Source organism: Homo sapiens, chromosome 4 (assembly GCF_000001405.40).
Source record: "Homo sapiens chromosome 4, GRCh38.p14 Primary Assembly".
Lineage (NCBI taxonomy): Eukaryota > Metazoa > Chordata > Mammalia > Primates > Hominidae > Homo > Homo sapiens.
In genome coordinates, this window is record NC_000004.12 from 126945005 (window position 1) to 126959613 (window position 14609).

The 14609-nt window shown below is 37.4% G+C and overlaps 1 annotated feature.

Moving 5' to 3' along the window:
• Positions 6207 to 6376: an enhancer, noted in NCBI's record as "experimental_73219 CRE fragment used in MPRA reporter constructs". NCBI's record gives its function as "activates a minimal promoter by MPRAs in K562 erythroleukemia cells, with activity observed for both the introgressed and non-introgressed 4:127872451 variant alleles {active_cell/tissue: K562}" and the evidence as "EXISTENCE:reporter gene assay evidence [ECO:0000049][PMID:34662402]".

Genomic DNA, 14609 nt, shown 5'->3' on the forward strand with positions numbered 1-14609 from the left:
AATCAAAGCATTTCCAAGGTGTGCCCACTTTCTAACAATTTAAGTAAAAATGTAGTTTGTATTAAAATCTTTTAAAATGAGACATCAACTCACACTTCTAGGCTTAGTTCCCATTTCTAAACCACCTCAAACTCCAAGCTATGTAGCCAGCAACAGAAACAAATGCTTGAGAAATTCAAGCTTTTGTACGTATGCTGATAGATACCTTGCTTCAGTTAACAAAATGCTCCCATCTCCTCACTCATTCTCCAAATACTGAGGTCAATCGAGTGCCAAGTATGCAATAGGCAGTAGGAGAGATACTGCAGATATAAGAGTAAAGTGCTAATAAATATTTGCTGAATTTAATGACATCTTCAGCTCTAAAGATAATGTGCTTTAGTTATGCATTAAAAACAAGAGTAGTGAGATTTGAGTTTCATTTAAGCACATGTACTTGTTTTAAATGTACAGATGTATATTATTTAGAATTCCCCAAAGGGTCTTTGATGCTGTAACTTCTCTCTAGCAACAGTTGTTTTCTACTTTGAAAAGAAATAATATTTTATTTTTATTTTATTTTTTTAATATTTTAAAATTAATATATAAGGTGACAGTAAAATGTCTACACTATTTCTACACTGGCTTTCATTTTTAAAAAAAACAAGAGATAATTATTTGTTTTTTGAAATACACTCCTCCAGAAAAGAACATAAGATAAACCTAGTACAAACAATGCTGTGTATAGAGACTAGAGTGCAGGTAAATTCAGTGAAACTTTGCTTTGCAACAGATAAGACAATCTTTTTGACTTAATGTAACTTTTTCATACATATTTTGTAATAAATCAAGTATACAAAATTACCTTGATTTTTGCCAACAGGTTTAATCAATGTTTCTTTGCAATGTAATATATTTCATCTCTCCATTTAAATTTTTCTAAGTCTAACACAAAACTCCCATATTATTAATAAAATGAGAAGTGCCTTAATATACTTTCATTTTTCCCTAAATTGTCTCACTGGAAGCTATCTATCTTTTGCCTAACATGGAATTTATAAATTTTTACACATAACAAAATGTAAGCAAGAAAATTTGTGTAAAAAAATACAACGAATACACTACAAAGTATCAAAAAATCTAGAAAAATGGGGTATTATGTTTGTGTTTTCTTAGATTAACAATTGAACCCATTGCTTCAAACTTAGAGATACTTCACCTTAAATAAGTGTCTAGAGTTTGAACAAAAACCATATTGAGCATATCACTGAAAATGTAACAAATATACATTAAAAAATAAGTTTATGCCGCCTGTAATCCCAGCACTTTGGGAGGCTGAGGCAGGCAGATCACTTGAGGTCAGAAGTTCCAGACCAGCCTGGCCAACATGGTGAAACTCCGTCTCTACTAAAAATACAAAAATTAGCCCAGCATGGTGGCATGTGCCTGTAATCCTGGCTACTCAGGAGGCTGAGGCACGAGAATCATTTGAACCCAGGAGGCAGAGGCTGTAGTGAGCTGAGATCACGCCACTGCACTCCAGCCTGGGTGACTCCAAAAAAAAAAAAGAAAACAAAAAAAAAAAACAGTTTATGCAATGTTTCCCAACATTGGACACTTTTTCTTGCTTTAGAGAGGTATAATTGACAAATGAAAGTTGTATATATCCTGAAGATTACTTTTAAATTCTTGAGTTATAATTGTTGATTTTTCTCCACATCTCCTTTACCTGAGCCCCAGAGAGCACTGTCACCATAAACAGCAACAGAGTGAGTGAGTAGCTATGAATACTAGACTTCTTTGAAAGATGACCTATTTCAATATGACATGCAAATGTGTAACACCATGGTCTGTGTCTCTCTTCACTCCTGGTAATAAATAAGCAACAATTTCAAATGTTATCTGGCAAAACAAAAGCATGCTGCTTTTCAAAATATGCAAATATTTAGCAATGATGTTTAAAAATATTATATTAAATAAATGGAAAAATCAATATTTTCATCATTACTAAAAATATTTATCATTTTTAAATTATTGTTAAAAAGTATACTTACATTTTACACATTATTATTTTAAAATTGTACTTTTCCATTATATGGTAAGTAAATGAAAACTACAAAAATTTTATTTTCATTTTATGAAAAGTACATATTTTCACCTCGGAGATCATAGTTATTAAAATATTTATATTTAATTAAAAGTTTCAATGAGAACTTATTTAAATGGAGTAATTGGATGACTAAATAGGATTCCAATTCGTATAATTGAATTTATTGACTTTACTTATCAATAACTGGAAACTATAAGTAGTAACTATATAAAATCAATCAATGATCTGGTGATAAAATTAAAGAATTTAGTTTAGTATTCTGATTCTTTTGTCTATAAGGAATCAACTGTATCATTTCTTTTTTGTCACAGAAGCTTTGGCTCTTACCATAAAGTTACAATCTACTTGGCTGTATTGGTGACTGTGAGGCACTGAGCCCATTCACATGTATAGCACTTAAGACATTTTTCAAAATATTCATAACATAGGCAGGTTTCTAAGTTCTAAAAAATTCAGTCTCCAAAAAGCAGAAGACATGGCAAGAGAAAACATGTAACATCTCTTGTCTCTTTGCCCCATAAGAAACAGTAATACACGACTGGCCCTTTTAATAAATGGCCTCTATACTTCTGCTGATCTAGCAATGGGCTCAGGATGAAGACTGCCACAGTGCTCTGTCAGGTGCTGTCTGTTTCCTTTACACTCTCCCTACCGGCAATCTACTTAGATCTCTATCTCTGTACCTAGAAACTTGAAACTGCCTCTTCCAAGTTTGGTGAAACCATCTCTTTATTTACAAATAACTGCAGAACAAAAGAGCGACAGAAATATTTCTAAAAAGCACTTCTATCTACATCAATAATGGGAATAACTAGGAGAGAAAATAGGAAGCAGTGGTGCTTTAATTTCAAAATACAAAGAAGGAGAGAAAGGAATTTTTTTCTTTCAGAAGACATCTAGAGATGCCCATTGCCAAAAAGCAACCCATCAGAGTGTGTTTCCTGGACATTAGTTCCTCAGGATACTTTGTAGAAAAAGGAGTTCTACAGTTGAGTCACTCAGGAAAACAGTGCCTACAAAATACTCCCACTCTTCTGTCATACAATGCATATAAAAGCCAAAATCCTGCTTTAAATACAGCAGTATTTCAAACGCTCATCTAGCTAACCTGACATTTTGAAAACTCATTTGACTATGGGGCTTATTATGGACTCTGCTTGTGTCCCTCCAAAATTCATATATTGTATTCCTGTCCTTCAAAGTGATGGTGTTAGGAGGTAGGGCCTTCAGACGGTAATTAGATTTAGATTATGAGGGTGGGAGCCCCCATTATGGGATTAGTGCCTTTATAAGATGAGGAAGAGACGCTAGAGCTTCCCCTCTCCACTATTTGAGGAAAAAGGAAGAAGGTAGCAGTCTACAAGCCAAGGAAGAGGACCCTCATCAGAACTCGACCATGCAGCACCTTGATCTTGAAACTCCTGACTCTGAAATTTGAAAAACAAACATCTGTTATTTAAGCCACCCAGTCTATGGTGTTTTGATATAGCAGCCTGAGTAGACTAAGACTGGGCTTTTTTTCCCCACATAATGCCTATTACATAGTAACAGAGAACATACTTCGGCAATATTAACATAGGCTTCCAAAAGGCTTTACATAGGACAGAAGCATAAATGTGTGCACTTTGAAAATTCATCACTCTGGCTATATTCTTAAAGAATTCTGGAAGGAAATCCTACAAGTTGTGGAGGTAGAATATACTAATGGAATAGATGATGGAGCAAGACGCATCAAAGACATTTCCAGGCTTTTTGGGTTGAACACCTAGGTAGGTGGCAATTGTCATTGACTAAGACAGGGAGAACTAGAGAAGGAAAGAGTTATAGGGGAAGATCAAGGTACAGTTCTAAGCAATAATAATAGTATTACACGCTATGTATACATATATCTTAATCAACAATGCCAAACCTGTCTCATCATTTTACTTACCTTGGAATATTTTTTAATATAATGTTCTGGGACCAATACACATATTTTTTCATGAGAACTAACGTGGGGCCAGATAATTTATATTTCTCCAGAGCTTCTAAATTATTTCTGATGAGGAAAAAACCAGGCTTACCTCGCCTGATCTGGACTTAGTAAGTGCTTAATTAATATTGATTGAAAGGACCCTGTAATCCTCGCCTGATCTGGACTTAGTAAGTGCTTAATTAATATTGATTGAAAGGACCCTGTAATCCAAAGGAAGACAGGGTTAGAACCTTGCATTTTAAGAACTGGGAAGTAGGAAAACTATAGAGAGAGGAGGAAAGCCCACACAGACAGGATGCCTGAGATCTAATAGCTAATAAAACAATAGTTGAGCAGATCTTCATTTGCTTCCTCTGTAAAATAACCCCAAATGACCCTTCTGAGTCCAAAATTATATGTTTTCAAGATATTGCATGGGGACTGTTTGTGATGGGTAATTTTGGAGGGCTATGACCTCTTATTTTATCAGTGCAGTCAGTACATTAAGGGGTAATTAGTGTTTAGTATAGGAGGAATATAGTTGAGGATGCATAACCACTCAGATGTATTCTATCTGACATCAATTTATAGAGTTCAAAATACTACCCATGCAAGAGATATTTTAATTGTTCTCACTACCATAATGTTCCAAATGTTCCACCATGTTTGCCAAAACAATTTGTATGACAAGGGTCTCTAACTTCTAGGAGAGAAGCAATTTACTTCAAGATTTTGCTGGATCCATGGTGAAAGCCACTTATACTACTTGGATGCCTCTTCAGTAAATTCAAGATCCAAGATGCCTTTGATCATCAAGTTGCTGTGAATAGTTCAAAGGAAACTGGAGGAAGAGAAGATTCCCTCAGTCCTAAGGGCACTCTATCTACAATAAAGGCCAAGAAAGGGAATATTGAAGTTGAGTCAGGCCAAGGTGGAGGTTCACATTGTCACCATAGCCCTGGCTCAAGCAGGAATTATCTTTCAAGTTGTATTCATTTATTCAACATATTTTGTGAACTTACTCTATCAAAGATACTAGGTTAAATGTCTCTAAAATCTCCTGTCTTTAAGTATATCAACACCCTATCCTCTAAAAATATGTAGACTTTCAAAACAGAACAACAAAAACAAACTACTGAGCCAGGAGGATATGGTAAGAATAGTACTCACCACTCCATTTTGAATTTTGTGTTCAAAGCAATGCTTTTATTTTTCTTCTTAATTTGCTTTGGGTAAGCTATGCCTAAGTTCTTTCTCATCTCCTGCAGGATGAAAATGTTTACAGCAATGTACCCAGTCACTACAAAACAATTTAGCTGTCTCATGGAATTCATTAAAATGTGACTTTTACCTGCTCTTGATTATTTCAAGACCCTCCCCTACTTTCCAAATCTTTTCTTTTCTTTTCTTTTTTTTGCCAATAGTCAGATGAATTCAACATGAAGCGCCTGCTACGCAGCTGTGTCTTGATTTACGCATAACTATATATCTCATTTGGTTCCTTCTGCTGAAATTATTTGTTCTTACCTATGATATCAGCACAGACCCTATTCCAGACCTTTTTTCTCCTCTACCAATACATTCCTAACATTTATAGTATTAGAATTTGTCACACTTCCAAATTGGATTACCCACTCCTAATTATTTAAAAATACTCTGTACTTTGAAACATGACATTTTACTAAATTATGAGCCTTACAAAACCAATGCTAACTAGGAAAACATCAGATATTAAAATATATATTTTTCAATACTGGATTATGATCTTCTGGGAAACAAATTTATAAGGATCATCTGGCTGCAAAATGTGATTTTAGGTTTGGAACACTGGAGGCATTTAGCATATTTTTGGTATATGCACTATGAAAATTAACATGGAGAGAGTTCTCAGGACCTCAGATCATCCCAAATGTCAGAAAATCAATCAGAGCTCTACGGTGTTGGAAAAGCTAGTCTAAAATTACCTATATTGCTCCTGATAATAAAAGTGACACTGTGGCAAAAATTATTTCAAAATAGTATTTATTCATTATTACACACCACTACTAATTACTAAAAGTTCACTGTAGCTCTTCAACTCCTAGAATTTTACAAATCACTGTTGTAACTATATCCGTTTCTGAGCTATCTCTTCCATATTGTGTTACAGTTTACAGGTGTTATTCTTTTCTTATTAATGTATTCAAAACATCTTTAAATACCTTATAAAGTAGCATCCGATGAACTTTAATACCACTAAGTTAACTTTTTTTTTTCTTTTGAGACGGAGTCTCGCTCTGTCGCCCAGGCTGGAGTGCAGTGGCGTGATCTCAGCTCACTGCAAGCTCCGCCTCCTGGGTTCACGCCATTCTCCTGCCTCAGCCTCCCAAGTAGCTGGGACTACAGGCACCCGCCACCACGCCCGGCTAATTTTGTTTTTGTATTTTTAGTAGAGACGGGGTTTCACCATGTTAGCCAGGCTGGTCTCAATTTCCTGACCTCCTGATCCGCCCGCCTCGGCCTCCCAAAGTGCTGGGATTACCGGCGTGGGCCACCGCGCCCGGACCCACTAGGTTAACTTTAACATTGTTATACCTAAAAGAAACAAAACGCTTCTGGCCATCTTAAAACTATAAAAATAAATGGGAAAAAAGGTGTTTTCAAGTACCAGCAGTGGGGGCGAGGGTGCTTTCTGGGGATCAAGAGTAAAAGCAGTCAGTAATAAGAGGAATCAAATAATAATTCTAGTACAAACGTTCTTAGGAGACAGAGCCATGATAAATTTTATAAGACTAACTTAAAAGGTTACTATTTTCATCTATTCTCTGTCACTGTTTTCTGTAAATAAAAATAACATTGTTACTGTTGATCAAAATCCAATTTGGTGAAACAGTCACTGAAAATCCAAAGTGGATACCACCTATAACTTTGTTAAAGAAAGGAAGCTAGTGCAAGTATATTAAAAGCCATACAAATTTCTAGCAACTTTAACAAAAACTAATTGTTCAAAAAAACGGACAGAAGGAAGGGAGGAAAGAAAGAAGGAAGGAAGGAAGAAAGGAAGAAAAGAAGGAAGGAAAAAAGTAAGGAAGGAAACAACTAGTTATTGAATCTTTCTGTAACACACAACCATACTCATTTTGATTCATCCACAAACGCCAAGTTCATATTTGACCTTCTGCAGTGATAAACACCTCTAAACTTTAGGTTTCTTTGATATAAAATCGTCAAAATAGCAAAAAAAAATCTTATTTATAAATTGTGTATAACTGATCAATATTTTAATATAGCACATCAAGAAATCTCTAGAATGTGGAAAAATAATAAAAAGAAAACAATTTTGTCTTTTTATCAGAAAGAAAGATTTATCTACTTTTGCAACATATTTATAATCTTTATTTAGAGACAAATACCAATTTTTTTTTTTTTTTTTTTTTTGAGACAGACTCTCGCTCTCTTGCCCAGGCTGGAGTTCAGTGGCATGATCTCCATTCACTGCAAGCTCCTCCTCCTGGGTTCACACCATTCTCCTGTCTCAGTCTCCTGAGTAGCTGGGACTACAGGCATGTGCCACCATGCCCAGCTAATCTTTTGTATTTTTAGTAGAGACAGGGTTTCACCGTGTTAGCCAGGATGGTCTCCATCTCCTGACCTCATGATCCGCCCGCCTCGGCCTCCCACAATGCTGGGATTACAGGTGTGAGCCACCGCACCCGGCCCAAAATATTTTTTAAAGCCAAATACTTTATGGAATTATTGTTCTGTGGTCTATTCTTGATACTATAAAATGCACCTTTGTGTTTCAGTTTACATGTAATAAACATTCAGTTCCTAATCCAAACATGAAATATGTCATCTGAGAACGTGTGTTTTGACAAGTTGAGCCTTTTTTAAAATTAATGTAGAGTTAATCAAACAGTACATGGCATTTACTAAATGGGAAAATCAGAAATTCTGCCTATGGATAATATAAACTTTATGCTGAAAATATAATAGTATATAATCTAAAGTAAGCTTTTATATATCACACACAACTACACATTATTATTGATATTCTAAAACAGAGTTTCCCAGATTATATACCATTGTGGAAGTGGTTTCCCAGTTTTTCCCTTCCAACTATTGGCAGGCGTTGCCTTAGACAGTCACTGTCTTTTTAAGGTACTTCATGACCTTTGAAAATTTGACTACTGAACTCATAAACTATATAAACTATCCCAAACAAATGGAGAGTAAAGAGTTATCTTCAACTTGTTATATCTAAGAAAACTATCAATACCCAAATAATTCAGCCAATCAATGCCCACTTTTGTATACTACATACTTTCAGATTTCTTAGGACCTAGATTTCTGTAGTTTGGCCCCAAGTTATTGATATTTTACCAAGTACATGCAGAAAATAGCAACCAGTATGATGACTTTTCTATAAGAAAATTAGTATATTACATAAATATCAAGTAGAAAAGTTTAAATTCCCCAGAGAGTTTTAAGAAAAAAAAATTAATATCCTAAAGTTAGAAGAATTATTCACATTAATAAAACTCAAACTGTTTAAAACACCCTTTATTGTGACAGAAGAAAGCAATTCCACACTGACCAGGGACATCGCTAACAGAAACATTTAATTACTAGCCCAATTCTTCCCATTTTTAAACTATTCCTCCGAAGTCCACCTCTTTACAAGTTTTAATATGTTTATGTTACTCTCATCCTCTCATCTATACTCTCATCCTCTCATCTACAACAGTGCCAGGGAGATAGTAGCAACTCAACAAATATTTGCTGAAGGAAAACAATGAATACAGTAAACAAAATTATCACATACAGACTGTTCTTCAAATGTTGAGAAGAGGTACTATTTTTGTCACAAAGACCTAGATTTGAGGCAAGAATTTTATAGTCTTGGAAGCTACTCTGTATGACATTGGCATTGTCCCTAAGGATGCCTCTCCTAATATCCAACCTGTGGGAAAGGATCACAGGATCAGGCATGATGCACCCTGCCACTTCCACTGTATGAGACAAGGTTATGGGAATTTTTCCAGGCCTCTGAGTCTTGTCAGATCTCGAAGAGAGCATCCATCCTCACCTGTAGGCTAAACCCCATCTTATTTAGTAATAACCATCATTTATTAAGTGGTAACTTTGAACCAAGGACTGCTATAGTATATTATATCCAGATATAGTGATTATTACCTCATGCAACAGAAAAGAAGCTGGCCTTAGAGTTCTGAATAACATTTTCCAAAGTCACAATATTACTATTAAATAGTGGAACGAAGTTTCAAACTCAAGTCTGGTTATCCTGCTTATTCCATGCTGCATCTTATTTATTTTCTAATTATAAGTGCGAAAGGGAAAAACACTTTTGGCTTCCAAAATATAGCACATATAGAAATGTGTAAAGTCACAGTATCGAAAGACCAAAAAATGAAAAGGAATTTTGAGTTATATTAATTATCACATATTATAACTATACATGCATACACATAAAAACATTATCATGGACAGTTTTACAGGCTAGCCAGGCTTGGCTAGGCTATAGTTCCCAGTTATTCAATAAACATTAAGCATTGTTATAAAGGTATTTAGGACATGTGATTAAAGTCTGTAATCAGTTGATTCTTAAGCAAGGAGATTATCCTAGAGAATCTGCATGGGTCTGATTCAGTCAGCTGTAAGCCCTTAAGAGCAGGGCTGCGGCCTCTCTAACGAGGAAGAAATTCTGGTGTGGATTGATGCGTCAGCCTGAACCTGATAATTCAGCCTTCCCTTTCTGATGGCCTGCCCTAAGGATTTTGGACTTGGCTACCAACCCTCACAATCATGCAAACCAATTCCTTGCAAAAGCTCACTTAGTATTTCCCTCCTACCTGTTCTGTTTCTCTGGTTGAAGCCAGACTGATACGTGAATCTCCTCCAGTAACTATTAGCAGCTGTGATTCTTAATATTGCCTTAGTAATAATTTACTTTAAATGCCATAGACACTAGCTAGCTGATCACCAAACTCATTTACTCTTCCTCCTGGACACACATACAGACCACATTTCCCAGCAGCCTCTTAAGTTAGATTGACCACGTGAGTTCTGGCCAATGGTATGTGAATAAAAGTGGTAGCCACTATTTCCAGGCTTTGCCTATACAATCTAACATTTGTAATTCCCACTTTCTTCCCTTTCTGTTGTAATTTTACAAGCCAGGTGTTGAGAGGCAGATTTGATATTAGGAAATTGGTTACTGAATCAGTATTTTCAAGAAACTTACTTGCCAGTCAGGAATTCTTGTTTTGGACTTCTGATGGCAGTGGCTGCCCATCTTGAGAAGCTGCTCTGAAGACGCTGGCTGCAGCAGGGAAGGCAAGGCCAGAGCTGCGTGCTCCGTAGAGTGGGCAGGAGCCAGGAACAGGAAGGAGCCCCAACCCATTCCGAGTTGGTAGGCTGGAAGCCCCTCCCTACTATGCACAGCTGTAGCTCCAGACCCAGGCATTTCCTGCGCTCTTGGGAGCCACAGAAAGCTCCCCTGCCGCTGCAGGCTTCAAAGTGCCTGCTCCCACTGCCTGGCCTCTCCCTGCTCCCGGTGCCTGTTCCAGGTGCAGAGCAAAGTTGAGGCCAAGCCCAAGTGCTGTTGCAACCCAGCTGGGTGTGTGAGCGCTTGGGGTGGCACTGACATGTCAGCCCCCTGCCACCGTGGCCCCCTCTGGACTTTGGGTGCCAACGAGCATGGGGGCACTGAGCCAGCTCGCTGCAGGCCTTCAGGCGCTCCTCAGCACAAACAGCCTGGGCGCCATGAATATGATTGATGGTGGCAAGCGGCAGACAGGCTTCTGGGCAGAAAGGGGTGGGTCCTCAGTGAAGCCCTACCTTCAAGCGAGGAACTGCCCAAAGCATGGGGGCTGGGCTGTCAGTTCAGGGTGGAATCCACAGACCAGAGTGAGAACTTAAGGTGTTTTTTCCAGGCCCACCCATGGCTGCCCATAGACCAATCAGCACATACTTCCTCCCCTCTGAACCCTTAAAAACCCTGACTCAGCCAGACTCCAACAGATGTGCGGACAACCTGCCTGTGGGTAGGAGTTACACACTCTGGGTCTGCTCTCTGCGGAGGGCTGCACGGACATCGGAAGACGTGCCTGTGGAAAGGAACTACTTACTTCCGGTTTCCTGAGAGCTGTTCTGTCGCTCAAGGAAGCTCCTCTTCGCCTTGCTCACCCTCCAATTGTCTGCATACTTCATTCTTCCTGCACACAGCGACAAGAACTCAGGACATGCCAAATGGCACGACTGAAAGAGCTGTAACACAAACAAAGCTGAAACACCACCCCCTTCCACCCACTCATCATGTCGTGGGCAAGGAGAAGATCTGTGGGCCTTCAGAGATCTCAGACACGGGGCTCCCCAAAGCCAGGGCTGTGACACCCCCTTTGGGGCTCTGCCGTTCCTGGCATCTCCAAGCTTCCAGGCACCACTGCGTCGCCACGTTTCCCTCATCTAGACACAGATGCCCACAGAGGAAGCCATGTGTTGTATATCTAGCACAGCCGCAGCCTTGCATGGAACCGGCACCTGTGCCTGCGCGTGGAGGTGCCCACCCGCCGCAGCAGCCAGCATGCCTGGCTCTGCGCAGTGGCTGGACCCCGCTCTCACTCACCCACACACCTCTGTCGCTCTGCATCTGGCTCGCCCTTGGCAGGTATGGGATCCAGGCTGGTAATGTGAGCTGAGCGCAGCCTGCCGGTCCGAGTGAAAGGAACAAACCCAGTGGGCTGGAGTAATACTCAGGCAGAAGGCGCCGCTGGCCACAGAGGTTTCCGGCTGGCGAAGCCACAACCCCAAGGATCCCGTGACACTTCCATTGTGTTAAGTCACTAAAATTGTGGTATTTATATTTTATATAAGTTATATTACCTTAACTGGCACAAGCACTTTACATTTTTTCCCATAATATGAATATTCCAGTTTATTACCAACAAAAGCTTGAAGTATCTATCACCGTTTTATATATCCTTTGACTGAATAGTGTAAAGTTCAGTGATATTAAGCCTATCTTATCACTTACCAAGATGCCAATAATTTTCAAAGAACTAAAACACTCTGAAATGTAATGAAGACCAAGATTATTGAAATAATCTAGATCCTTGAAAAATACATAATTTTATCCTACAGAATAGTTTTTAAAGGATTTTTTTAATTAAAGTGCAGCTTATGCCATACAGAGCTAAGAAAAATAATGCAACAGACTTCAGATAATTTACCATGTCAGGAATGTCTGCTTGCTGTCCTTATGTATTTTAACCTAATAAATCTAAGATCTATTGTGTTTCAAGAGAAATTAGTGATTTGCTATTGGTGAAGAAAATAATATAGTATGTAAAATTTGAATAAAAAAATGTACTTCACGGGGAATTTAAGGCTATTCATATCTTAAACTATCTTGAATGTGAACCCTGACAATAGAAACTATATTTTTTAATTGACACATTGTAATTGTACATATTTATAGAGTCCAATTTGAGGGTTTGATACACATATCTGTTGTGTAATGATCTAATTATGGTAGTTAGTATATCCATCACCTCTTGCATTTATCATTTCTTTGTGGTGAGAATATTCAAAAGCTTCTCCCTCTCTATTTTGTAATATACAACACTTTACTGTTAACCACAGTCATATTACTGTGCAATAAACACCAGATAATACAATTAGAAGTAACATTATTTCTGCTGTGGCCCTGCCACCTTGTGTTCTCTTCTTAAGCACACAAGTAATTTCAGCTTCTTCATCTTCTTATTTTTTTAATGAGACATGTTATAAAAGCTTATGAATCAAGGATTTCATATATTTTGCTTTAATAAAAAGAAAACTCAAAAATTACTTCTTGCCTTTGGCTGCATCTCAGTATGTACAAAGAAGTAGAAATTTAATGCAAGCGTCAAGACCCGAATAATCCTGTTATTGAAGGGGAAAAATAGAGATGAAATGATCCAGATTTGCTGTGCATATTGGTCACATTTTTCAGATAATTCCTCAACTCCACTTTTACTGGCTCCCATTGTTTAACTCTGTAGTCTTTATAAAGTGCCTAGAAACTCAGGAGATAAGTTAACTCAGCACTCTTAAGATCTCTGACTCCAGACAATGTATTTTGGTGGAAAGCCAGGTTTTAAGTCCTTAGGGCAGGCTTTAGGGATAAAATGACAGAAGAGGAGACAGAAAAAAAAGAGGGTTATAATCACTCATACAAAAAAGAGAAATGAGGAGAAGTATTGGCTCTCAAAATAAAAGGTGGATTCAATCAAGTGTATTCAAAACTATGGTGAGGGAAAATGAGCTCAATTCGAGGGAATACAATCAGTCCTGTAGATGACAAGCGTTGATTTGAAGAAAACATTCTTAAACTATATCATTTCTTGTTAAATAGCATATTGAAAAACTGATAAAAAAAAAAAAGGAAAGGATTCCATCAGGGTCAGAGTTTTTAACTACCTGATACAGTCCAATTCTAAAAATACAAATGTAGCTATAAATAAGGAGCAATGGATTTCTAAATATATAATTGATGTTGGAAGATTCAGTGTTTGCTGATCAAAAACATATCCACACACATCTCTGCAACATAACTGTAAACCTCAGTTGCAGATACAAATACTTTAACTGCCACATACAATTTTATCTTAGTAAAATAGTCATAATATTAATTCTGAAGAGCTATATCTCTCTACAGAAGAATCTGAAAACCAGCTAAATGCCAAACTCAGATTAAAAACATATTTTTGTACCTTGTTGGTAAACCTCAATAAATATGTTTCTCATAATCCATCAGTATTTAATTAACATATGATAACTGTCCTATTAAAGCTAAATGAAATCCTTATTTGAAAGATAAAGTGCAACTGCACTGCAGCTTCTTTTCATGTAAATTATAACTATTGACAAAGACTGAAAAGAAATCTCAAATGCAAACTATCTCAAGTGATTATATAGTTTGATTTAGGAGAATGGAAACTTGGAAACCAAAAGAAAGCAAAACTTGAAGGGTGGGAGTTGACACGCATCAATAATTTCTTTTTGGCCTATAAATTTTTTCCTGTTTTATTTTACACTTACTCCATGAATTCAACTGTATTCATTCAGATATCCAAATAGAATTTAGTATCTAAAAATGTTTATGTGCTTTCCTCCTCCTTAGCAACCCAACTGCTTTTGATTGCCTCCCAGAAAATGTGCCATTTTTCCTTCTGTTTATTTCTCTGGTATATCAGCATTCATCTGTGTGAGTCTGCTTTCATGGAAGTCTTTCAGTATTCCACACAAGGTTTTGCTGGGGGAAGGAAGGGTTCTCACTGACAATCATGTGTAGTAGACCAAAGCTGAAGGTTTGTAGTAAGAACCAAACATTAGGACCGTCTCTTGTCGGGGAGCTCTGAGAATGTTTATAGTATATTCTGTTAGGAAATGTCTGCAGGAAGGAAAGTCCCCAATAAAGTTTGTTTGGAATTAGTTGTAACCTCCTGGTTTGAGGATATTGTGCTATTTGAGGATGACATCAGGTAGGAATAAAAGACAGAAATAAGACCAAAAATGTGTTTT